General features: G+C 36.4%; 1 protein-coding gene across 23 annotated transcripts in view; it reads right to left on the bottom strand.

The window, feature by feature from the left end:
- PMS1 (PMS1 homolog 1, mismatch repair system component) overlaps positions 1–25,574 on the bottom strand; it is a 93,180-nt gene that overhangs the window by 55,905 nt on the left and 11,701 nt on the right. For 19 of the 23 annotated variants that reach the window (NR_110332.2, NM_001321047.2, XM_017004348.2 and 16 more), the window contains 2 exons: positions 15,971–16,073; positions 3,545–3,708 (listed from right to left, as the gene is read on the bottom strand). Coding sequence is in view for 22 of the 23 variants with exons in the window: in NM_001321047.2 (NP_001307976.1) it covers positions 3,545–3,708; positions 15,971–16,073 (267 nt within the window). In the remaining variant the exon portion in view is untranslated. Of the gene's footprint in view, positions 1–3,544; positions 3,709–14,670; positions 16,074–25,574 lie in introns of those variants that run through there. The other 4 variants (NM_001289408.2, NM_001289409.2, NM_001321051.2 and 1 more) reach the window with 3 other exon arrangements.

Genomic DNA, 25,574 nt, shown 5'->3' with positions numbered 1-25,574 from the left:
AGATTCTCCTGTCTTAGCCTCACAAGTAGCTGGGATTACAGGCATCTGCCACCACACCCGTCTAATTTTTGTACTTTTAGTAGAGATGGGGTTTCACCATGTCGGCCAGGCTGGTCTCCAACTCCTGACCTCAGGTGATCCACCCACCTCGGCCTCCCAAGGTGCTGGGATTACAGGTGTGAGCCACCGGACCCAGCCTTCACTTATTATATTTTCTAACTCGAAAGATTTCTCTTCCACTCACTTTTCTTTCTTTTTTTTTTTTTTTGAGACGGAGTCTCCCTCTGTAGCCCAGGCTGGAGTGCAGTGGCGCAATCTCGGCTCACGGCAACCTCCCTGCTTCCCGGGTTTAAGTGATTCTCCTGCCTCAGCCTCCTGAGTAGCTGGGACTACAGGCGCATGCCACCATGCCTGGTTCATTTTTGTATTTTTAGTAGAGACAGGGTTTCACCGTGTTAGCCAGGATAGTCTCGATCTCCTGACCTCGTGATCCACTCACCTCAGCCTCCCAAAGTGCTGGGATTACAGGTGTGAGCCACTGCGCCCAGCCCACTTTTCTTTTACAAATATATAATTCCTATTTCTCTTTATATTTTACCTTTTTCATCTATTTTTCCTTCCTAATTATTATGTTCCTTCTGATGTTGGTCTTTTTTTAATTTAGGGACAAACTTTTTATTACTAAATATCCTCTGGATCCAGAGGTCATAGGGTTATTTTTATTAATAGGATGAGCCTCCATCCATCAACATCCTAAGGAATCATAGCACGGTGGCACTGGAAAGGATCTCAAGGTATCATTTGGTTGAGCTCTATGCCAACAAGAACAGGTTGCTATTCTTATTTTAAATGATCAAAGATTTTGATCAAAAACATTCTACCATAGCTTTAATAAAGAATCTTCCTGACAATAAGAAAACTGGATCAAAAAGGGTTCTGACCTCAGCACTATTACTGTAAAATATAAAACAATTCCATTAGTTGCTCTGAGCTTTAAGTTCCCCCATATAAACAGAGATAATGCTTTCTATCTCACAAAGTTATTGTAACTGTTCTGAAACATGGGAAAAAACTATATAAATATAAAGTAGTATTAAAATAGGAAAAAGGGCCAGGCATAGTAGCTCACACACCTGTAATCCCAGCACTTTGGGAGCGTGTATTGCTTGAAGAGGGTGCATTGCTTGAAAGCTCAGAAGTTTGAGACCAGCCCAGGCAACATAGGGAGACCCCCCATATCCCTACAAAAAAAATTAAAAATGAGCCAGGCATGGTGGTACACATGTGTAGCCCCAGCTACTCAGGAGGCTGAGGTGGAAGGGATTGCTTGAGCCTAAGGCTGCAGTGAGCTGTGATCGTGCCACTGCACTCCAGCCTGGGTGACAGAACGAGACCCTCTCAAAAAAGGAAAGAAAAAAAAAAGGAAGAGAGCATGGTAGAGAGCAAAGCACTCTGAAGGCATGTTAAGTTTCAAATCCCATCTCAATTTACTAGTCGCACAACAATGAGCAAAGTATTAAACCTATCTGAATTCCATTCAGAGAACAACTGCAAAACTGATATAATCCCTACATCACTTGGTTGTTGCTGTGAGGATTACAGAAAACTAATACACCTAGCACAGGTCCTGGCATTGTGTAGGCCCTCAATAGATGTTAATTCCCTATTTCCCATCAGGTTTCCACATTGCTGTGTAGTTTGCTTTCCTGCAGGATACCCATGTGAAATTTCATTAGATAAACAGAATAATTAGAAAATATATAAACCTTTCTTTCCTTTAAGATTCACCAAGCAACAAGATGACTACCTTCTCTTATCGGCGCTTTGAAAAATGGAAAGAAAGCTGGAGTTTTCCTTAAACTCAAAAGCTTCTGCACAGCAAAAGAAACAATCAACAGAGTGAACAGACAGCCTGCAGAATAGGAGAAAATATTTGCAAACTCTGCATCCAACAGAGATAACATCCAGAAGGTATAAGAAGCTCAAAAAACAAAAACAAATAATCCCATTAAAAAGTGGGCAAAGGACATGAATTGACATTCCTCAAAAGAAGACAAAAGGCCAGCAAGCATATGAAAAAATGCTCAACATTACTAATCACTAGAAAAATGCAAATTAAACCACAATGAGATATCATCTTGCCTTAGTCAGAATGGCTATGATTAAAAGGATGAAAAATAACAGATGTTGGTGAGGATGCAGAGAAAAGGGAACATTTACTCACTGCTGATGGGAATGTAAATTAGTATAACCTCTATGGAAAACAGTATTTTTAGTTCTAAAAAAACTAAAAATAGAGCTACTATTTGACCAAGTAATCTCCCTACTGGGTATCTACCCAAAGGAAATCATTATACCAGAAGGACGCCTGTGCTCATATGTTTATCACAGCATTATTCACAATAGTAAAGATACAGAATCAACTTAAGTGCCATCAACATATAAATGGATAAAGAAAATGTGTATGTATACACAGTGGAATACTATTCAACCATAAAAAAGAATGAAATCACATCTTTTGCAGCAACAAGGATGGAAATGGAAGTCATTATCTTAAGTGAAACTCAGAAAAAGACAAATACTGCATGTTTTCACTTATAAGTGGAAGCTAAACCACATGTATGGACATAGAGTGTGGAATGATAGACAATGGAGACTCACAAAGGTAGAGAGGGAGGAGGGTGGATGATGACAAATTATTTAAAAGGTAAAAGGTATGTTATTCTGGTGATGGATATACTAAAAGCTCTGACTTCGCCACTACACAACATATCCATGTAACAAAATTACACTTGTATCCTCCTGACACACACACTCTTCCAAAGAATCAACAGTGTAGAGGGTGAAAAATGTCACTAAATTGTGAAGTCTTTAAAGGAAAAGAACCAGTCTTACTCATTTTCATATTTTGAGAATCTATCACAGCACCCGATAAAAGGAAGCACTCAAGCCATTTCTTAGATGAAAAACGTCTGCTGGGGGAATCCCTGATTTCAGAGATTAAGAAATGAAAAGTTCAATCAGATCATATAGATATTAGGCAACAAATTAAAGACACTCTTTATGTAATAAAGATAAAACTAGATAAATGTGGACTAACATTTTGAAAAAAAGACTCTTTACATGTTGTCTTTGGGCTGCTATAGCAAAATACCATAAACTAGGTGGCTTATAAACAATAGAAATTTATTTTTCACAATTTTGGAGGCTGAGTAAGTCCAAGATCAAGGTACCAGATGACTTGGTATCTAGTGAGGTCCCACTTTCTGGTTCATAGGTGGTGCCTCTGACTATGTAGTGGCCTCCTCACATGGCAGAAGAAGGAAGGCAGCCCTCTGAGGTCTCCTTTATTTTAAGAGCATGAATTTCACTCCTCAAAGGCCCCATGCCCTAATAACATCACATGGTGGTTAGGTTTTCAACAAATAAATTTTGTGAGGGCACACAAACATTTAGTCATAGCCCATATCTAACTGATTTATAAAGTATACATTGTTTATTATATCATATACCCAGAAACTTATAAAGATAAAATAATGTTTACCTTGTTATGTACAAAGACAATCCTTAAGTCAGGTTTAAGGATACCAAAGCTCATGAGGAGATCTTGGATCTTTTTTATTTCATCTTTACATTTTTTTGCAGTTGAGTAAAACTGCTTTCTTACAGGTAGATTCTTAAATAATCTTAAAGCAGTTACAGTTGTACCTGTTGGCAGACAAGAGAAAAGCACATTTAGATTTGGAAGGAACGTCACAGATCTTCAAATCCGTATACAATTTGTAATTAACCCCTTCTATAACTGAAGGTCTCCTCCTCCAATTCTAGAAACCCAAAGGCTCAACTTTGCAAACTACTCTGATTCCATGCTAGACTCTTCTATTTGTAACAAGACTGACCTACGAAGTATGACCTCGTCTATGTGGTCTAAAGAAGTATAATCTTACTTCTATCACTGCGTAGAAACATGGGCTTACAAGAACGCAGTATCATAAGAAATCTGCTGTGCTCAAACTACCTGGGAATGGTGCTTATTCTGGACTTTAAAATATAATTTATAGGAGATATAATATTACAGTTTATATAATAACCTTATGTTACTGGAAATTCTTACCTGAAATAATATCTGGTAACCTAGTTAAATTTACCTCATTTTCAACAACATTCAAAAACACAGGATAACCTAACAAAAGAATTTTTTTAACTTATAGTTTAACTGGAAAGCTGAATAAAGGTGCAAAAATTATACTGCTGAACTATCAGATTAACCACTAGCTTTTACTCAAAAAAACACCACTACCACATAAAATTAGGACTGAATGTTTGTCATAGCCATATACGATAGGTACATAGGTACATATTTTTAAAACACTGAAGAATGAAACATTTAAAAACTACTAGTCACCAGTTAATCTGAGTTATGAAATCAATCTCCCCATGTGATTCTTATGAATGTACAGTCAGAGTAGAGAATCATTACACTGAGGAGTAATGAAATAAATTTATAGTGTAGTGCTTCTCAACCTTCGCAGCATTGACATTTGGCCAGGTAATTTGTTGTGGGGGACTGTTCTGTGCATTGTAGAATGTTTAGCAGCATCTCTGGCCTCTTACCCACTAGATGCCAGTAGCATCCTCCTTAGTTGTGACAATCAAATATCTCCAGATACTGCCAAATGTTCCCTGGGAAACAAAGTTGCCTTGGTTGAGAACCACTGATTTAGTATTTAAAAACTACCATCTTTTTTTTTAAAAATAAAATAGAATAAAAAGATAGAATAAACTAGAAAAATAGAGTGCATCACCTATAGTTAGGATAAATATTATGTCATGACATTTTGTTTTGATTAGCTGTGTGTGAACTGGGTTGCTATGTAAAATATATTTATTACCGTGAATCAGTCAAAAAGGCTGAAGTTGCTGCAATAGGTCAATTTTTGTCCTACTGCTTATAACACAGAGCAAAAACACAAAGAAAATGGCAATCATAAGGAACGTATAAGACTTTGAAACTGTAGTGTAAAATTTTACGTAGTTTTAAAGTTCCAAGAGGAGAAAAAGAAATTACTGGTAGTTTTAAAGTTCCAAAAGGAGAAAAAGAAACAAATGGAGATGTAATTAAATAAATACTAGAAGAAAATTTTTGAGTTAAAGGCTTAAGTGCAGATTTCAAGAGCTTACTTCATTATAAGGAGAAATATTTTAGGAAGAAAAAAGAAAGTACATTCTACTGGAAATCCTAAATTTTGAGGACAAGAAAAGAATTTTACACATTGTCATACAGAAAGAACAAGTTTCTTACAAGAAAAGACTAACATCAAATTTCTCACCTATAACACTAGAAGACAAACAATTTACTAACTATTAAGAAGAAATTAAGAAATTGACACCCAGTTAAGATAGGTATAGGGCAAAATGAAGACATTTTTGGACTTGCAAAGATCCAGAAGTATAGCACCCAAATGTATTTGATGAAAATAATGGAAGATAAACTCTAACCAAATGACTATAATATCAAAATAGAGATTTCACCAGGTGTGGTGGTTGCACCTATAATCCCAACTACTTGGGAGCCTTAGGCAGTAGGATGGCTTGAGCCCAGGAAGTAGAGACCAGACTGGGCAACACAGTGAGACCCTGTCTTTAAAAATAAAAAATTAGTCTGGCATGGTAGTATATGCCTATAGTCCTAGCTACTTGGGAGGCTGTGAGAGGATCCCTTGAGCCCAGGAGTTCAAGGCTGCAGTGAGCTATGACTGTGCCACTGCACTCAAGCCCGGGTGACAGAACAAAACCCTGTTTCTAAGGGGGGAAAAAAAGACATTTTGTGACAACAAGATGAGAAAATAAATGTGGTGTGCAAAGCATCTTAAAAGTTTGACTGTAAACAGAAGATGCTAATGTGGGTGGGCTTTGCAACATAACTTAAATAAAGATTCATGAGATATAATGTAAGTCTGAGAAGGCCTAACAGTAGCTTGTAACTCAATGTTACAAACTGTTATCAGTAACTGTATTAGTCCGTTCCTTCTCACACTGCTATAAAGATATTACCCTGGAATAGGTAATCTGTAAACAAAGGAGGTTTAATTGACTCACAGTTCCACATGGCTGGGAGGCCTCAGGAAATTCACATTCATGGCGGAAGGGGAAGCAGGCACCTTCTTCACAAGGCGGCATGAGAGAGTGTGAGTGTATGAAGGAGGAACTGTCAAATACTTATAAAAACCATTGGATCTCGTGAGAACTCACTATCATGAGAACAGCATGGGAGAAACTGCCCTCATGAGCCAATCACCACCTTCTCTAAACACATAGGGATTACGGGTCCCTCCCTCAACACATGGAGATTACAATTCGAGATGAGATTTGGGTGGGGACACAGAGCCAAACCATATCAGTAACACTGGTTAACTGGAGAAAAGGGGTGGGAATTAAAGCTTACACTGTCCTACACAACCTGTTCCATGGCTATCTTCTCTCCTACCGATGTCCTTCCTTCTGTTCCTAGAGGACATCAGAATTGTTTCCACCTCAGACCCTTTGTACATGTTCTTCTGTCAACCTTTCCACAGCTAACTCTTTCAGATCTCAGCTTGAGTATCATATCTTTTTTTTTTTTTTTTTTGAGATGGAGTCTCTCTGTTGCCCAGGCTGGAGTGCAGTGGCATGATCTCGGCTCACTGCAAGCTCCGCCTCCTAGGTTCATGCCATTCTCCTGCTTCAGATTCCTGAGTAGCTGGGACTACAGGAACCTGCCAGCCCGCCTGGCTAATTTTTTGTATTTTTTTGGTAGAGACGGGGTTTCACCATGTTAGCCAGGATGGTCTCGATCTCCTGACCTCGTGATCTGCCCACCTTGGCCTCCCAAAGTGCTGGGATTACAGGCGTCAGCCACAGCGCCTGGCCCAGAGTATCGTATGTTTTGAAAATCCATCCTTAAATGCCCTATCCAAGGCTGCTGCTTCTACAGTGGAACTATGTTTTCTTTCTTTTTAGAAAATGTCACTACTTGAAAAAACTTTTGTCTGCCTCGCCTCTTAGAATACAAGTATGAGAGCAAAGAACTACCATGTTTGCCATTATATCCCTAGCACCTTAAACAACAATGAATAATCTGTAGGCATTTAACAAAAAAGTCTTAAATGAATACTTAAAGAAAATAAGAGAAAGTAATAAAGTTTGTATTTGTCTGAATTATTTATTTATGGAAGACACATAGTACTTGCAATTTTTGAAAGGAAATTTACTATAAGAGAAAAATAAAAGAAGATTGGGGGGAAAAGATTTTTGTGGAAAAAGACTAAAGGAAGTGCAATATTCCTATTTTGCTCACACTTGATGTTTTTCTGCTTTTTTCTTGATCTGGTGCCTCATTAGCATATAACATTACTAATGATTTTTTTTTGGGGGGGGGTCTTCCTCTATTTTTATATAGAGCATTTCCTTGGCTTACCTGCATACATCACTTCCAGAGGCAGGATTAAATTCCTTGGAACACCATGTTCTAACATGGTGAGAACACATAGTTCTCACTAGTAACACTTTGGTGCTACTATTCTTTGGCGCTACTATTCTTTGGCTTAGGAAAGTAAAAAGGTCACTGCCAAATTTTGGAGCAAAAGCTGATGGAGATCAAGAAATGCATGCATTTAGCAGTCAGAGCAGGTATGCATTCTGCCTCTACTGCTAAATGGAAAATACACACACACCAGAATCTATACCAGATCCTATTCACAGAGACCTCACTTCATTCTTTGTTCCCCTAGATGTTTCCTCCATTCCCATGTCTTCAACTACTACCTATATGCCAATGATTCTTTTCATGGAAGTTGTAAGCAGCACCATACTTTTATAAATCTCTAAAAAAGAAAAAAACACTTCCAATTAAACTATGATACACTGCCTTAACAACAGTCCCGTGTAACACATGAAATGGACACATCAGCCTCTCATTCCTTTGAAATTTCTTTACTCCCATGAATATGGCAATTTCTTCTGGTGCCATCAATTTCAATGCTTTGCATATGACAGCAATCCTTTGGCACTTAATGCAGCTTCATTTAGTTGTGACTATTTCCCTTTTTAACTCTCATAAAGCAATTGTTGCAATAAAATATGAAGTTGTTTATTCCTCCAATCAACACATGAATTATTAATATTGCACAAAATTCAATTGATACAACAATAAGAACATCCAAAACTGCTGCTTTTCCAAAAAGGATTTTGGGAGGCCATTAATTATAAGCCACAATCTGTTTCCAGGGACGTCAAGTGTGACAAAATGTGCATCTTAGAATTGGTTAACTAAGACACATATCTGAGACCTACACTACTCTTTTAAGTTTTATAGACAGATGCTCACTCATTAACTCCACCTGGCTATCCTCAAGGTATATGAAATCGACCACACTCAGGCTGGAACTCATTATCTTCTTCCTTGGGTTTGATACTACACCTAACCTTCCTTTCTCATATAACACCAACATCCAATGGTTTCCAAAGGCAGATACTACAGAAAGAATTGATTCTTCCCTCTACTTCTTACTGCAATATTGCATAAGTCTTATAGGTCTATCTATTCTATCCTAGGAGTCTCTCCAATTTATGTCAAGTCCTTTCCCTCCCCTCAAACCCTAGTAGTTGAAGACAGTATCTTACAGTAAGACAAAATTTATAGTAGAAATTACCAGTTAATCTTGTAAATAACATATTAATCCTACTAGTTAATTTTGTAAATAACATGATATCAATCGTCTGCCTAAAATAAATTCCAGTGGCTCATAATGGTAAGGTACAAACTACCTGGTATGATATAAAAGGCCCTTCATAATCTAACACCTACGCTACCACTTTCTAAGCTAAACCTCCTGCTTCTACTACTCCAAAATCCTTACACTGAATTCTGTCATGTCATTCTCAGTACTCCATTTTATATGCTTTAATTGGCTTTTTAGCTATATAACTTTGTATTACTTTCAGTGAGTATAACATATATTCTTAAATTATCAGTTTACCTTGATTACCATGAAATAAATTATATTTCACAATGTAACAACTTTGTAATAGTGTACCTCATTTACTCTTACCTTTTGTAAAGTTTTTGTCATGCGTTTTACTTTTCTGTGTGATAAACTCCACAATATACTGATTTTGTTTTTGTAAAATAAGTTTTTAAAATACTCGTCTTTCCATTTTTTCCACACATTTTCTAGTGCTTTTCTTTCCTTCTTGCAGATTCAGGTTGCCATGTAGAATCATTTTCCTTCAGCTTAAAAACCCTGTTAGTATTTCTTGTAGTGCATGGTGGGAGATTCTCTGTTTTATTTGTATGAAATTGCCTTCACTTTGTACTCATTCTTTAAACATTTTTACTGGTTATAGAAGTCTAAATCAAATTTTGTTTGTCTTTTTGTTTTGTTTCATTTGAGAGTCTAATTCTGTCACCCAGGCTGGAGTACAGTGGCGTGATCTCGGCTAACTGCAACCTCCGCCTCCTGGGTTCAAGCAATTCTCCTGCCTCACCCTCCCGAGTAGCTGGGATTACAGGTATGCACCACCACACCCAGATAATTTTCGTATTTTTAGTAGAAACAGGGTTTCGCCATGTTGGCCAGGCTGGTCTTGAACTCCTGACCTCAGATGATCCACCTGCCTCGGTCTCCCAAAGTGCTGGGATTACAGGCGTGAGCCACCGCACCCGCCTGTAATTTTAAATTTAAAAACTTAAAAGATGTCATTCCATTTTCTTTGGACTTCTATGTTTCCAATGGGAAGTCAGCTGTCATTATTTTTATTGTTCCTCTGAATTCAATGTATTTTCTCCTCTGGCTGCTTTTAATATTTCATGAAAGCTGTAAATAGCGCCACACTTTTATGAATCTCTAAAAAAGAAAAAACACTTCCAATTAAAGTATAATACACTGCCTTAACAACACTCCTGTCCAACACATTACTGGTTTTCGGTAATTCAATTATGATGTAGTTAGCTGTGGTTCTGTTTATTTTTTTTCCACTTGGTTCTGTTCACTCTTTGGTATGTGGCTTTGTATCTTTTCAAAAATCTTGAAACATTCTCAGACATTTTCTTTTTTCAATCTTAATTATGTTATTAGTTTTTTTTGTTGTTGAAGACAAGAGTCTCACTCTGTTGCCCAGGCTAGAGTGTATGGCACAATCTTGGCTCCCTGCAACCTCTAATTCCTGGGTTCAAGAGATTCTCCTGCCTCAGCCACCTAAGTAGCCAGGATTACAGGCATGCGCCAAAACACAAAAAAATTGGGTAATTTTTGTATTTTTGGTAGAGATGGGGTTTAACCATTTTGGCCAGGCTGGTCTTAAACTCCTGACTTCAAGTGATCTGCCCACCTTGGCCTCCCAAAGTGCTAGGATTACAGGTGTGAGCCACCGTGCCCAGCCCTCAGACTTTTTTTTTTTTTTTTTCAGATTTTGTTCTGCCCCATTCTCTCTCCTGAGATTCCAGTCACAGGCATGTTAGACCATTTAATGTTGCCCCACAGGTCTCTGATGCTCTTTTCTCATTCTACTTCCGTGCTTCTGTTTGCATATTATTTTTACTGACCTGACTCCAATAAGTCCAACCAATTAATTCTTCATAGTACTTTTTGTTCTAGAATTTTCATTTAGTTTTTTAGTTTCCATTTCTCTGCTGAAATTTGCTACCTTCTTACCAGTTTTGACCATCTTTTCTTCTAAATTCTTTAACATAAGTTTTTTTTTTTTTGTCTGTTAATTCAAACATCTGGGTTATTGATGAGTTTATTTACACTATTGTTTCTCTTGATTACGGATCCCATTTTCCTCTCCTCAAGTCTCTCAAAATTTTTATTTTTGCTAAACATTGAATATAAAAGGATACTAAAGAAGAAAATATTTTCTCCCAGAGAAAGTGCTTTGTTTCCTGCCAAGAGTAGAGTGAAGAATATATCTCTTCAATCTAACTAGGAGTTTATCTGAGTTGAACCTTTTAGTTCCAGTTCAAATGTCTTTGGTTTCAAATGTCTTGAAGATGGAATCAGGTCTCTTTCTCTAGCAAGGTTTTAAGATCCTTCTTTCTCTAGCTCAGTCCCAATTTTCTTAATCACTTTTTACTCAACAAAAGTCCTGCTGAGATTCAGTGTGGGGGTTGGACTAGCTCTGTTTGAGGATCCCATATTCTAATCTGTCATGTCTGCCCACAAGTGGCTATAAAAGTTCAGCTGGTTTCTCCTTGTACCATAAAAGCTCCCTTATTTGTAGAAGACTTGTTCCTTTATCTACCTATGACTCAGTTAATGCTCCCAGGGATGCAAATGGCCACCAGGCACTTCTTTTCTAGGAGGATGTAGTGTTTCTCTTGAGCTTTGTTCATTTAAACTTCTCTGTGACACAGGTCTTCAATGAGTTTAAAGACTACAAGTTTTTAAAATTATGTTTTTTCCCCTCATTGCTACGCAGATAGCAATGGTCTCTTGAAAATCTGTATCCATCATTTTTCTCTTGCCGAAAGGTTACACTCCATGTCTTCTTATCTATCATCTTCAAACTCCTACCATCTTCAAACTCAAACGTCATCTTTTCTGAAAAACTTGCTAACCTCTCTCTAGGCAGTCAGTGGCTTCATTTTGTCATTATTCACTCACCTGTGTTCCCCACTAGTCAGTAAGTTCCTAGATGACAAATATAATGGCATGCACTGTAGCTCTAGACAGAAGGAAGACAGAAATCAAGAGGGCAAAATATAAATGTGTATATGAAAGTAAAAAGAGATACCTGTTGATTTTTAAATATATGTATCTAAGACCACATTATACCTAATCTGTATATTGATAAATTATTGCTTCAGCACCTCAAAATATCCTCTGAAAGTAAAATGAGAATTATCATTATTTTGAGATGGAGTTTCACTCTTGTTGCCCAGGCTGGAGTGCAATGGCACAATCTCGGCTCACTGCAACCTCCGCCTCCTGGGTTCATGCAATTCTCCTGCCTCAGTGGGATTACAGGTGCCCGCCCCCATGCCTGGCTAATTTTTTGTATTTTTAGGAGAGACAGGGTTTCACCTTGTTGGCCAGGCAGGTCTTGAACTCCTGACCTCAAGATCTGCCTGCCTTGGCCTCCTAAAGTGCTGGGATTACAGGCGTGAGCCACTGTGCCCAGCCAATTGAGATTAATAAGAATTATATGTTTGAATAAAACATACTTATGGAAAAGTCTTTTCTGATTCCAAATGAACCCTGTCTCAAAAAGCAAAAAAAAAAAAAAAAAAAAAAAAAAAGAAATGTGCTTCCTTAAAAGCACCAAGTAATATTGGCCAATAATAGGGAGGAGGCCCCATTATACTATCATGTTTTACAAGAAAATCATTCAGCTCTCTAACTTTAGCACATCCTACAAACACCAGAATTAAACTGCAGTGTTGTAATATGCTCCCTGTTATATTTTTACATGACCCTATGGTATGCCATTTATTATAATGGCAGCTATTTATATTCCTAATGTAAAGGTATGGTTGCTTGAATATATCAGAAAGTTTTCTTAAAATATTTAAGGAATAAAAGGTCCATTCTTAAATTAAGATGAAAAGATCTTTTAATACACGCACAATCACACACCGTAGGAATTTACAAAGAACATGATGTTCTGAAACTCTAGTAACAGGGTAGGAAAATGATCACAGCCCTTTAAATACTACTTTTGATATATGAGAAATTTCTAAGGCAGAAGTACTGGAAGATCTTAAAAGAATCTGACTAGGAGGGTAAATCAATTTGGAAAGCTTAATACTGATTATCTAGGGTAAAGGGAATAGAAGTGATGACAGAAAATGATAGGACTAAAGCTATTAATTTACTCCATGTTCTTGGTACAATAATTTAAAAGATAGAGATGTATTTCTATTTTTCTTTTTAGTTTAAAAAAATGCTTTAAAATGGAAGTGAACAGAAGGCAAGGGCAACTTAGGGTGACATACTGTTAAACACATAAATCATTTTAAATGGCTGAATTAATCCATAAAACAAATATACACCTAGAAAAACCAGAGCTGGAATTTCTAGTAAACTATTTTTAAACATTGTAAAATATGTCTTTTAGGCTGGGCACAGTGGCTCACGCCTATAATCCCAGCACTTTGCGGGGCTGAGGAGGGCAGATTTCTTGAGGTCAGGAGTTCGAGACCAGCCTGGCCAACACGGCAAAACCCTGTCTCTACTAAAAAAAACACAAAAATTCGCCAGGTGTGGTGACACACACCTGCAATCCCAGCTACTTGGGAGGCCAAGGCACAAGAACTGTTTGAACCTGGGAGGTGGAGGCTGCACTGAGCTGAGATCACGCCACTGCACTCCAGCCTGGGCGACAGAGTAAGACTCTGTCTCAAAATAAGAATAATAATAATAAATTACGTTTTTTAAAGGGGTAACAAATTTTCCAATGCCTAAATAAAATTATGTTGTAAGTTGTTCCCGTACCTACAATTATGCCACCCACAGGTATCATTATATCAGATGACATGAAGAGTAAATGCTAAGCAGGGATGTTCACCTCACAGCAGAAATTAGTCCAAGAACCCTACATGTACAGGTATAAATTAGGATGGTTGAACTGTAATTTTATCTTACGCAGAAAATATTTAAATGGAAGCTAAATGACAGCTGGTGAAATATGAGTATGTGATTCAATCACTCAAAACCTATCAGCACTAAGGCAATATAAACATAAAAGGCTTTTGAAAGTGTTTGTAGATATATATAATATGTCCACCAAGAACAACTTAAAATTAAGACTTTAACTTTCTGCTGTTTTCCTAACCAATCAACTATAATTAGGTGAAAAAACTGAGTTATGAAAAGCAATTAGTAGTTTTGCAACTACTGATCTTCTAAGTATTTATTCTTGTTTCTTGAGATAAAAGAAATATACTAAAGAAAGTAAAGTTCATTTGTTGACTACAGAAATTCCTTAATATGCATACCTGGTCTCACTTACTTAAGGTATAAGACTGAGGTCAGCAGGAAAAGGAAAATCAACAGCAAAAGGGCAAAGATCAGATGGATTCCATATCTAAGGATTGTTATTTCATAGTTCCCATGGAGATGAATAAAGAAAAGCATGAGAAGTATGAGTGATGCAAAGCCATTGGCCATCCAGATTAGACTGGTCACTACTAAGACAAAAATAAATTCCTTTAAGTTTTATAAGGCGACTAGATTACTTCAAAGTACTCTACTGGATAGCCACTCAAATATCTCCTAATGGTGTCCTAATTTGAACTCGTAAGAACTGGGGTCAGAGTATTTCTAGAGAGGAGCCATATTTTAAAAATGCCTTCTGTCTGTCCTAACCTTTGATATACAGTAAAAGAATTATAATCTATTATTTTTAATTAAAACATATATAATATTTGTATCATTCTACATCAAATAAAATAGCTGTTAGACTTGAGCTCATTTTCATTAACTGAATAAATGAGGAAAAAATGTGCATTGTCTTAGGAGTTTCTATTAACTCTCTCCTTTATGTGGAACAAAAATATCAATTCCTAATGGGCAAAAGTAATCAGTAATTAAGCTAAGGATTTACAAAATAAGTGAATGAGTGAGAGAATTTGGTACCAGTATTAAAATATAAGAAATTTATATTTTATACATGAAATGAAGACAGAAGTCATTTGAAAAAAAGAATCCAATAATTTAATATTAAAACTGAAGGAAAAAAACCACAGAAAATATACAGAATGTACTTTGATAAACTGCAATGAGGGAACACAAAATTAAACATGAATTTACAACACAAATTGGAGAAGCAGAAGGATAAACAACAACAACAAAACCCACAAGTCCCTTTTCAGATCTAATAATTATTTTGAACATGACTCTAAAGAGGTAATAGCTTTAATAGTCTCTTAATCATCCCATCACTAGAAATTATTAAAAAAAGATTAAAGGAGATATGTGAAACTGAAGCCTAAAGAGATCTTTTTTACCTTTATAAGTAAATAGTTTTTAGAGAAATTTAAACACTTATCAGCTGAACACAGTGGCTCACATCTGTAATCTCAGCACTCTGGGAGGCCAAGGCAGGTGTATCGCTTGGGCTCAGGAGTTCGAGGCCAGCTGGGCAACACAGCAAAACCCTGTCTCTACTAAAAATACAAAAATTAGCCGGGTGTGGTGGTATGCACCTGTAGTCCCAGCTACTGAGGAGGCTGAGGTGGGAGGATCACTTGAGCCTGGGAGGCAGAGGTTGCAGTGAACCAAGATGATGCCACTGCAGTCCAGCCTGTGTGACAGAGTGAGACCCTGTCTCAGGAAAATAAAATAAAATAAAATAAAAAACATAAGATATCAATTAAAATGTAATAATATTACATAAAAGTATATAAAACACTAACTACATTACAAGTAGAAACAATACGTATTTGCTTCAAAGTAATATAGAAAGGGAAGAAATGGGCGAGGGTATTACATGAAAGAACTTTAGCAATGAATTGATAAATTATTGAAACTGAGTGATAAGTACAGTAACTTCTTATGCATGTTTGAAGTTTTCCATCAATTAACAAATAGATTTTAAATTATTTAATCATATCTTGATGGTATCGTTTATTTCCACTATTACCAAATCAATTATGTTTTATATGTTTCAATAAAATTTTAATCTTCTTCATATATGAAGATGACACTGGTAATCCAGCACTGGTAAAATAAATACTCTTAGTTTTTACAGAGGAGTAACTAGTCCATGGAAGTGTCCAGTCTCTCATACAGTTCCTTTTGAGAACAATTCTAAATATTTAAGAAATTGGTGGCTAGAATAAAGGCTGAATGTTTACTTGGAAGTTAACTAGCCTTTATCAGGACCAAGCCCAAAGCAATATATTTGTATTCACCGAGTAACTTTTTTTTTTTAAACCAACAATTAAGACAGAAAAGGTAAAGAATGTTTGTATACAAAGCTACTTTCTTACCTTGACCAAGATGTGAAGGTTTCTGAGAAAGTATGTGGCCACTGCCATCTAAAACATACTGGGTGCTAAAATTATCAGCAGCCGTTCTTGTTGTAATTAAAACCTGGGGGAAAAAAACATCTAATAAAACTAACACTTTAGATATTGCGATGGGTTCATTATCAAAGATTTGAAATGATTATTGCATAATATATTTACTCAATAGCGTATTTTACCTAATAAACATTTGTGACCAGTTCTTTTGTAATATTCCTTAGAGTTACACAAATAAGCAACAGGCCAGCTTGTATTTTTTTTATGTTGCAAATTACTGTTTTGAGTATTTCACTTTATTAAAACACTCGTACACAAACAAGTATACCTGAAATGCCATTTGTATTATATGCATTATATGACTTATGTCTGTAAAAGCAAGTACTTCAACTGTATTAAGGGAACTTGCTTTTTAACAGACTATTTCCATAAATTTGTTGGTAAATGAATAGTTCTTTGGTAAAGTGATCATTCCCTCCCCCTTCTTTATTATGTGTAAAACTGCACTTCTGTATTTCAAGATTATGGTCCAAAAAAAATTAAATTATATATATATTTACAGATTTTTTTCTTAAAACTGAGCTTTAAACTCATTAAGGCTAAATTTTTTATTAATTAAAAAAATTTAAAACATGTAAGCATAAGTGAAGAAGACATTTCATTCAGCATGAAAATATTTCCTCAGATGTTAGTCATAGAAACACAAATTTTGAAGTGTCTGCCCTCTTTTGAGCTAGCTTCATCCTCAGCTTTCTATTTACTTACCCCATGAGGTAGGTATGAAAGTACAATAGTAAAATATGCCATTGTCAGAAAAAAAACAAAAAAAAAGTGGGGAGTGGGGATGCTGGCAAGGAAAGCATTGGGAAGAAGGTAGCCTCCTCACATGTCTGGTGAGCCAATGATGACCCAAAATTGGGAGTAATCTTTCTTGGCCATCTTTATACGAAGAGCTGAATATTCTAAAGTAAATCTATATAATTTAGACACCATAAGAATCCAACCCCACTGTTGGAACTCATCTGAATCCAAGTGGGTCTATATTTGAAGGTTCTGTCACCCTGCCCTAACCAAGCAGATTTACTGTAGGGCCTACAGCTCTGTGGAACATGTTGGTAGCATGCAGGGAATATCAGAGCAACAAAAAGAAACGGCTTCTCCAGCTCACAGTACCAGCAGAGGACGTTAGATTCTCTCTGAAAATGAAGTCTATGAAACTCTTACTAGGGGCGCTATGTCAAGCTATTACTGTGATACTATCCCCCAAAAAAGCAGAACCTAAAACAAAGTTGGGAGTTTCTGAGTACTCTTAAGGGATCTACCTCTTCCAAAATACATTCCATGGTTCAAAAATGGTGTAATTTAGAGGACAGAAAGTGCTAGAGATTTTCTTTTCTGTGGCTCATTATTCCATAATTATCCCTTTGAAGACAATTCTACATTTAACCAACTGATTTTCCAAAATGCTAAGGTCAACTGAATTCTATTTCTCTACTCCAAAGAACTAGCCACCTGACCTAAAGTTGGTGTCACTGAGCAAAGGCGGCCCTGGAACTCTGAGTTCCAGGACTAACCCTGCCAGTGGCTTCTAGATGGTCCTGAATAAATGATTACACAGATCATCTTTAAGGGAAGGGTGATGATAAGATGAAGATGATGCTAATACTTTATAAGGTTACATGGGATTTTGTTTTAACCACTTTATCTTACAAGATATTAATTTGCTCATCCTTTAAACATATATACTCCAGTCTAGACGAAGAAACTGAAGTGCTAAAAAGCAAAATAAGACCTTAGTGCTCATAATGTAACATTTATGTTAAAGTAAAAAAAAACCCTCTATTTTCCAACATTAAAATTTTGTAAAATTACAATTTGTAGAATACTACGAAAACGTATTTAGATATGAAATGCTTTGCAATTCATGGCTAAAGACAGTAAAGCATAAAGCAAACACATAAGTGTACTTCATAAATTTATGAAATACAGTGTGTTCCACAGAGGAAGGAAAGGGAATTGTATTTCGAGAGTTTGTTTCATCATATGACCCTGTGTCTGGAGCAGGAAACTTTTTTTTGGACCGGGCACAGGTTCAGAATTCATTAGCTGTGCAGGAGCTAGCATTTGAGCCTGCAGTAACTCCACCATCAGGAGCATCTCTAACAGTACACACTATTACTGGTGATTCTTACTAGAGACATTGAGGAATGGTGGCAGAGAGTGAACCTAGTGGTGTCAAGAGAAGAAATAAAGAAAACCAGTATTTTAAAAGGAAAAGTTTTACAAGTCCTTAGAGGACCTTGGAGGCTATATTAGTTATCAGTTATTAAAAACTGACTCTCTGGTCCAGTTTACTGAGTTTCAAGAAATCGCAGTATCATTACAAAATTAAAATTACATAAAAGCATTTAAACTTCAGATAAACATAGTTTTTCTTCAATGTTTAGATAAAAAGTAAAGAAAAAACTTAGAATATATCCTGATAATTCAGGTAAAAATCCTCTTGACAAAAATTCATTTAAGGTAATTATGATAAAGCCTTTTGAGTTTTTGGGGGGGCTAAGTTTTAGATGAAAACTGACACAAAAACGAGTTGAAAACGCACAGTCTTTACGATTCAGGTGAAATACAGACTTTTGCCTGAATGGCTGAAATGTTTTCTTTTCTGCATGTGAGTATGCCTGCCTGCCTGTGCAAGTATTGTGCACTAATTAAAGTACTCTGACTGCAGGACTTGTTCCCAGATACCCACTATGGGGAGCCTAGCAACAGGGAGATCTTGGCCCTGGCTTTTCTCCTTTCAATAGAGTTCCATCACCTGTGATGAAGCTGCATTTAGGAAGTAAAATATTCCAACTGCTTCAAAACTTCCCAGACGTATTTTGACTAAAGCTCCTCCATCACAGCTATAAAAAATATACGAGACAACCCTACACTGTGGAAAAGGAGTCAGAAGTCCTTGGTTTAGAACCATCATAATGACATTAGGGGCTTCCCCTGACCCTTTTATAGTATGTGGGCCCACAAATAAGTGAGTCCCAACTTCCATCTTCAAAACAAAATGACTCAGCTTCTCATTCTGCTCCTCTAAGCCCTGGAGGCTTAATGTGAGGTGATACAAAAACAAACCTACAGATCCTATATTATCTCATCACAAAATTATGTACAGTTGACCCTTCCACAACACAAGTCTGAACTGTGCAGGTCCACTTAACACACAGATTTTCTGCCACCAGAGACAGCAAGACCAATCTCTTCTCTTCTACCCTTTCCTTAGCCTACTCAACATGAACACTTAATGAACAGCTTCCACTTAATGAATAGCAAACATATTTATTTTCTCTTATAATTTTCTTAATAACATTCTTTTCACTAGTTTATTATAAGAATACAGTATATAATACATGCAACATACAAAATATGTTATCTTCCGGTCAACAGGAGGCCGGTCAACAGTAGTTAAGTTTTAAAGGAGTCAAAAGTTACATGTGAATTTTTGACTGCATAGCGAAGTGGTGGGGTCAACTGGGTGATGTTCAAGGGTCAACTGCATAATGAGCTTGATAAGGTGAGAATAATATTCAGTACACTGTAACCATTTAAATGGTGGATGAATGAATCAATAAATGTAAATGTTATGCAGAGGATGACATTTATTCTTCTGAGGGAAAAACGAGAGAAAAAAATGAACTAACACTACGGGATGAAGACATTTGGTGAGAATTAGAAGGAATTTACCTATGAATGGCTATTACATTTTAGAAAGGATTTCCCCAAAATGTGGAATAGCATACATAGAATGCGGAGGTGAAATACTATTTGCAGAGGGGAATAAGCAAGTCTAATGATCTTATCCAGATGCATACTACTTTTCACATACAAGTCCAAAGTAGAAATAACTTGCATCTGTATGTACACAATATTCAAGACACTGTAAGATGTATTATTGTATTTGACCCTCACTTGATAAATGAAAAAAAAAAAATTCTCAGAAAACTTAATCTGACTTTGGCCTTTGGCCAGGTCTCTTATTCAAACACTCAGGATTTAGAATTAGGCTTCTGACTCCTACTTCAGAATTTGTTCTTTAAGAAAAAAAATAAAATAAAATAAACTGTTCTGTATTTCTAAAACCAGCCTCCATGTAAAATCCAGTTCAAAAATGTTGTTAGTTTCTTAAACATTTCTTTGATAACACATATAAAATATCAACCTAAAAAGAAAAATATTTTGTGTTTTTTATTATGTGATAGGAATAATATACACAATCTTTATAAAAATTTTTATGAGACGGTCAAGACAGGATTTTCACTCTCTCTATTTCAACCCAGTCACTGTGCTTAGTAATTAGTACTAGTAATTAAACATTGAAGATGACAAATTTCTCAAAATTATTGCTCTACAAACAATAAATTTCAAGAAGTTATGCTTGCTGTTATGATTTTAAAGAAAACCATTACGAGTAAATTTGTGTCAGTTGCTGATATACTCATCACAGATCATGAAAGCAATAATTCCATTTTAAAATACCAATAGTTTACTCTGCAGATATAAAAAGAATGCCTGCAGGGCACAGTGGCTCCTGCCTGCCAGCAATTCGGGTGGCTGAAGCAGGAAGATTGCTTGAGGCCAGGATTTTGAGCCCAGCCTGAACAAGAGAGTGAGACCCTATCTCTACAAAAAATTATAAAAATTATAAAACAAAACAAAACAAAAATAATGCTTTACTTCTTTGGACTGTTTAAGGTTGGAAGTTATTTTATAATTGACAAATTAGGAAAACTGACCATTCAAGTATATAAATAAAGAACAAAGAATTAGATGTATTTTAGATTTCTCCAGCCAATTTTGCTGAAAGTCTAACTTAATTTTTCTTCTTAATAACATTTTTTAAATAAACAGAAAATAATGTCAACAACTAGAGTTATAGGTGATGGCTGTTTAATAGTGTGCCCAATTACATATCGATCCACTGAGCCTAGGATGGTTTACAACTCTATGACTTTAAAATTATATGCATCAGTTAGTTTGGTAGATAAAATAACCAAATTACTAATTTTTATTGCATTCACTGTAATTTTCATCTAAAAAGTTTCAAAATAAGCTAGTCTTGAAAATATATTTTTTCTATATATGAAACCTCAATTCTTTCTGAGTGCTAAGGAATATTCCTTAAGATTAAAAAGTGAACTCCTTTCCCCCAAAATGCACCCATTAAGTCTTATTTAAAAATATTTATTTTTAAATGTAACTGACTTCAACAAACATACATTACTTCCTGTTTTTCTCAAATACTATTCACAGTCCTCACATATAAGTTTCAACTCACCTACTCCTAACAACTTATCTATTGAACTTAGCACTGCAGGCCTGGGTATATTTGTAAATAATTTAATATTTAATATGGAAGTATTTTTAAACTTTATAAATACATTTCTAATCATGCTAGTAAAGAGGTAATATAACCTACCACGGAAAATACATTACTGAAAGGCATGAAATTAGGACTGAATTCTGGGCTTTGCCTTGAACACACTATGTATACCTGAATAGGTTACAAATTTCATATTTCACTGTGTACAATTCCTCTGAAATCAACTACCTAGTGCAGCACCCTGCATGCGTAGACAATGAACATTACTTGAGTTATTAGAGACAGTGTTTTGAAGTTGGGTAAGAAGACTTGGCATTTGGCTTCAAAAGACCTCAGTTTCCTCATCAGTACTATGAAGAAACTGAAGCACAGAAGACCTACATTGTAGGCTGGCTAATCCATGAAGCTCATTCTGAGATGGAGATTAGTGAGCAGTCAGTTTATTGGGGGGTTCTTTGGGATGATCACCAGTGGGCATAGGGCAATGTTGTCCTGAACTGGGACGTTTATAACACCTCAACCAGTCACTGGATTCATTGGATGCAGGTTGCCCTGCATGACTTGGGTAAGGCAGCTGTCTTCAGCTGCGGTAAGGGCAAGCTCCAGATGGAGACTCAGGGGTGAGTCACCAACACTCTTGGCAGCTGGGGGCTGACTGCTCAGTCCTGAAGTGGGGGATCTAGATGGTGTACTAGGGTCCCCTACTACTATAAAAGTTCCTTCCAGCTAGCTCTGTATTTCCTTTAGTTTTCAGGTACAATCAAACCTAAATCATCATCAAAAACTCTGTGCCAAAATAATACATACCATATGATTTCATTTATATCAAGTTCAAGAACATAAAGAACTAATCTGTGTTGACAGAGGTCTGAATAGCAGTTACCTTTGAGAAGTACTGACTGGGAGTGGGTATGAGGGAACCTTCTGGGGTTCTGATAATGGTCTAAATCTTGATCAGGAGTATACATATGTAAAAATTCATTGTGTTGTTAGTGTAGGTGTGTGTGTGCATGCATACACACACACATCTATATGTGGTTTTCCCAAAGACTTGTAAGAAAGGAAACTCCATAAAATACTGTTAATATTTTCTAAGATAAATGCTTGGCATTGCAAACATTTTTTTAAAAACTTTATAGTTTTCCACTATTGTGATACTTTGACAATTCTTTTGTAATTCTGATGAGCAAAATTATTTTATTTATACTCAAGGCCACTTGAGTGCCTCAAAATAAAACAAAGACAAAATGATAAACTTGCCTATCAAGTGGGTTTAAGTAATCAAATAAGGAAACAAGATAGAAAGTGACCAATGGAGAAAGACTTACAAAACTGCCATCTAAACTCAGAACTACAGTGAAGATTTGAATAAATCATACAGCTCATGTGAAACCTATTTCTAAAAACCAAGTATAGTGCTGCCACCTAGTAGGCAAAGCTAATTATGACTAATTTCAGCTCTGAAGGGTTACATATATATCTTGCAGAAAATACAGAAATGCCAAATTATCTTTTTGATAATCTACCAAATAAAGCTTAAAGCCTATCTGTCAAGTTTGAACAACAGCTAAAAAAAAAAAAAAAAAAAAATCAAATACTTATGCTCTAAAACAGAAAAAAAAAAATGACTTCTAGAGTAGTCACTGACAGCTAAATAGTACTGGCAGATTCAGAGGTTCCCTGATGCAAACCTCGTGCAATTTTAAAGACAAACTCTTTGTACAAGATCCAGGGTTGTGGATTCCCATTTATAGTCTTGAGGAGAAAAACGGACAATGCCCAATTGAACCCTCTAGTCCCTCTTCCCCAAAATCTATTTGAAGGCTCTGTGAACTCCAAATAAAGCGAGTGCTGAGGAAAATAGAGAAGTACACAGTGTGCTAGATTTTGGACAGCGGTTTTAAGAGTACACATGACAATTTCCCTTTAATGATCTCTAAACATCTGGATTCTAATAAGCAAGGCCCCCTAGTCCTCTATGCTCCAACAGCAAAATCTCCCACTTAAACTTCATCTCCTTTGCAATTTCTCTGGCCTACTTAAGACATGTTACACAGCCAGAAAAGCCCAAAAGTAAAAAACTGAACCCAGAGGGTCACCAATTTAACAACGGTGCTACTTAGGATTTTTCGACTTTACAGTGGCGCGGAAGTGATATGCATTCAGTAGAAAGCAGTGGATAAGCTAGCAATGCTGAGGCAGTGACCCACAGCTCCCAGTCAGCCATGTGACGATGAGGATAAACAACAGATCCTCTCCAGTGTACTATGTTGCCAGATAATTTTGCCCAACTGTAGACCAATGTAAGTGTTCTGAGCATGTTTAAAGTAGGTTAGGCTAAGCTGTAATGCTCAGCAAGTTAAGCATATTAAATGCATTTTCGATTTACAATATTTTCAACTTACAAAGGTTTAATCAGGAATGTAATCCCCTCATAAGTCAAGGAGTATCTGTACTGAGCTGGAATCCTAGCCACAAAAAATGGAGAAAACCTACACTATCCTATGCCAGCACTTCAAAAACAGAAGGGCTGAGGGAAGACCACAATGAACCTAGAGAATATATCATTATTCTTGGCAAGACTGGACTACTAAACAGATGTCCAAAGACCAGAAGGGGAGACAGCAACAGTATCTCATTTCTGTGCCACTTTTCCAGAACAACAAGTATGAAGTCCTATCATTTTACTGTACTGGAACATTCTTGCCTAAATAGGGTCTGCCAGCCTAAGCACAAATGAAGGATTACATGGCTACTGGGCAAATTTCAATAACTCAAGAGACCCTCACAATCACCCTGTCACCTGGCACATAGATACTGTCACACAATAAGAGCCCAACATCCACAGGGTAATAGTATAGTACAAAAAAAGTAGTACAGAGTCACGTGATCAAACACAACTGAGATAACAGAAATGAAGAGATCAAGGTTCTAGACGGGCTTTGCTACAAACTAGTTATAAGATCTGGGGCAGAGGCAGCGTAGTATAATTGGTACTATGCAAGTGAATGTGCCAAGCACTGAACTCAGGAGTTCATAGACACTGAGCACCTAACTCACAGTCAGAAGAGTAAAGTTCTTAAATCCAATCTGCCCTTAACTAGTTAAGGTTTAGACCAAGTCAATTCACATCTCTAGAGCGTAATCTCACTAACTGTACCGGTTAGAGTGGTATTTCTAAAGTGTAGTCCACAGAACAAGCAAACAAACAAACAAAAATGATATGCTTTCTCAATAAAAGAATTTCATGGTCAAGTAGGTATAGGAAAAAGTGCGTATATAAACCACCAACCTTAGAGATTTACAATGTGCTTGAATATAGTAAAGGCTCTGAGAAGTGCTATAGTTAAATATCTGCTTAATTTTCTTAATACAATTTTTAAATGCAAAACACACTTTGCTGCTCCTCAAAAAATTAGACACAGAATTATGATATGACATAGCAAGTCTACTTCTGGATATATACCCCAAAGAAGTAAAAGCAGGGACTCAAACAGGTATTTGTACACCAATGTTCACAGAAACATTATTCACAATAGCCCAAAGGTGGGTGAAAGTAACCCAGGTGTCCACCGATGAAAATGAACAGATAAACAAAATGTGGTATATACACATGATGGAATATTATTCAGCCTTAAAAAGGAAGGAAATTCTGATGCATGTTACAACATGGATGAACCCTGAAGACATTATAAGAGAAATAGGCCAGATACAAAAGAACAAATATTTTATGAGTCCACTTATATGTGATACCTAGAATAGTCTAATTCATAGAGACAGAAAGTAGAACAGTGAGTACTAGGGGATGGGGGGAAAAGGCATTATTGTTTAATGGGTACAGAGTTTGAAATAATGAAAAGGTTGCGGAGATGAATAATGGTTATAGATACACGACAATGTGACTGTAGCTAATGCCACTGCCACTGAATTGTACATTTAAAAATAATTAAAATGATACATTTTATGTTATGTATATATATATTTTTTTGAGACAGAATCTCACTCTATCTTGCCTAGGTGGGAGTGCAGTGGCATGATCTCGGGTCACTGCAGCCTCTGTTTCCCGGGTTCAAGCAATTCTCCTGCCTCAGCCTCTCAAGTAGCTGGGACTACAGACGTGAGGCACCATACCCAGCTAATTTTGTATTTTTAGTAGAGACGGGGTTTCACCATGTTGGCCAGGCTAGTCTCGAACTC

Source organism: Homo sapiens, chromosome 2 (genome assembly GCF_000001405.40).
Source record: "Homo sapiens chromosome 2, GRCh38.p14 Primary Assembly".
Lineage (NCBI taxonomy): Eukaryota > Metazoa > Chordata > Mammalia > Primates > Hominidae > Homo > Homo sapiens.
This window is presented reverse-complemented; position numbering and strand designations above follow the sequence as displayed.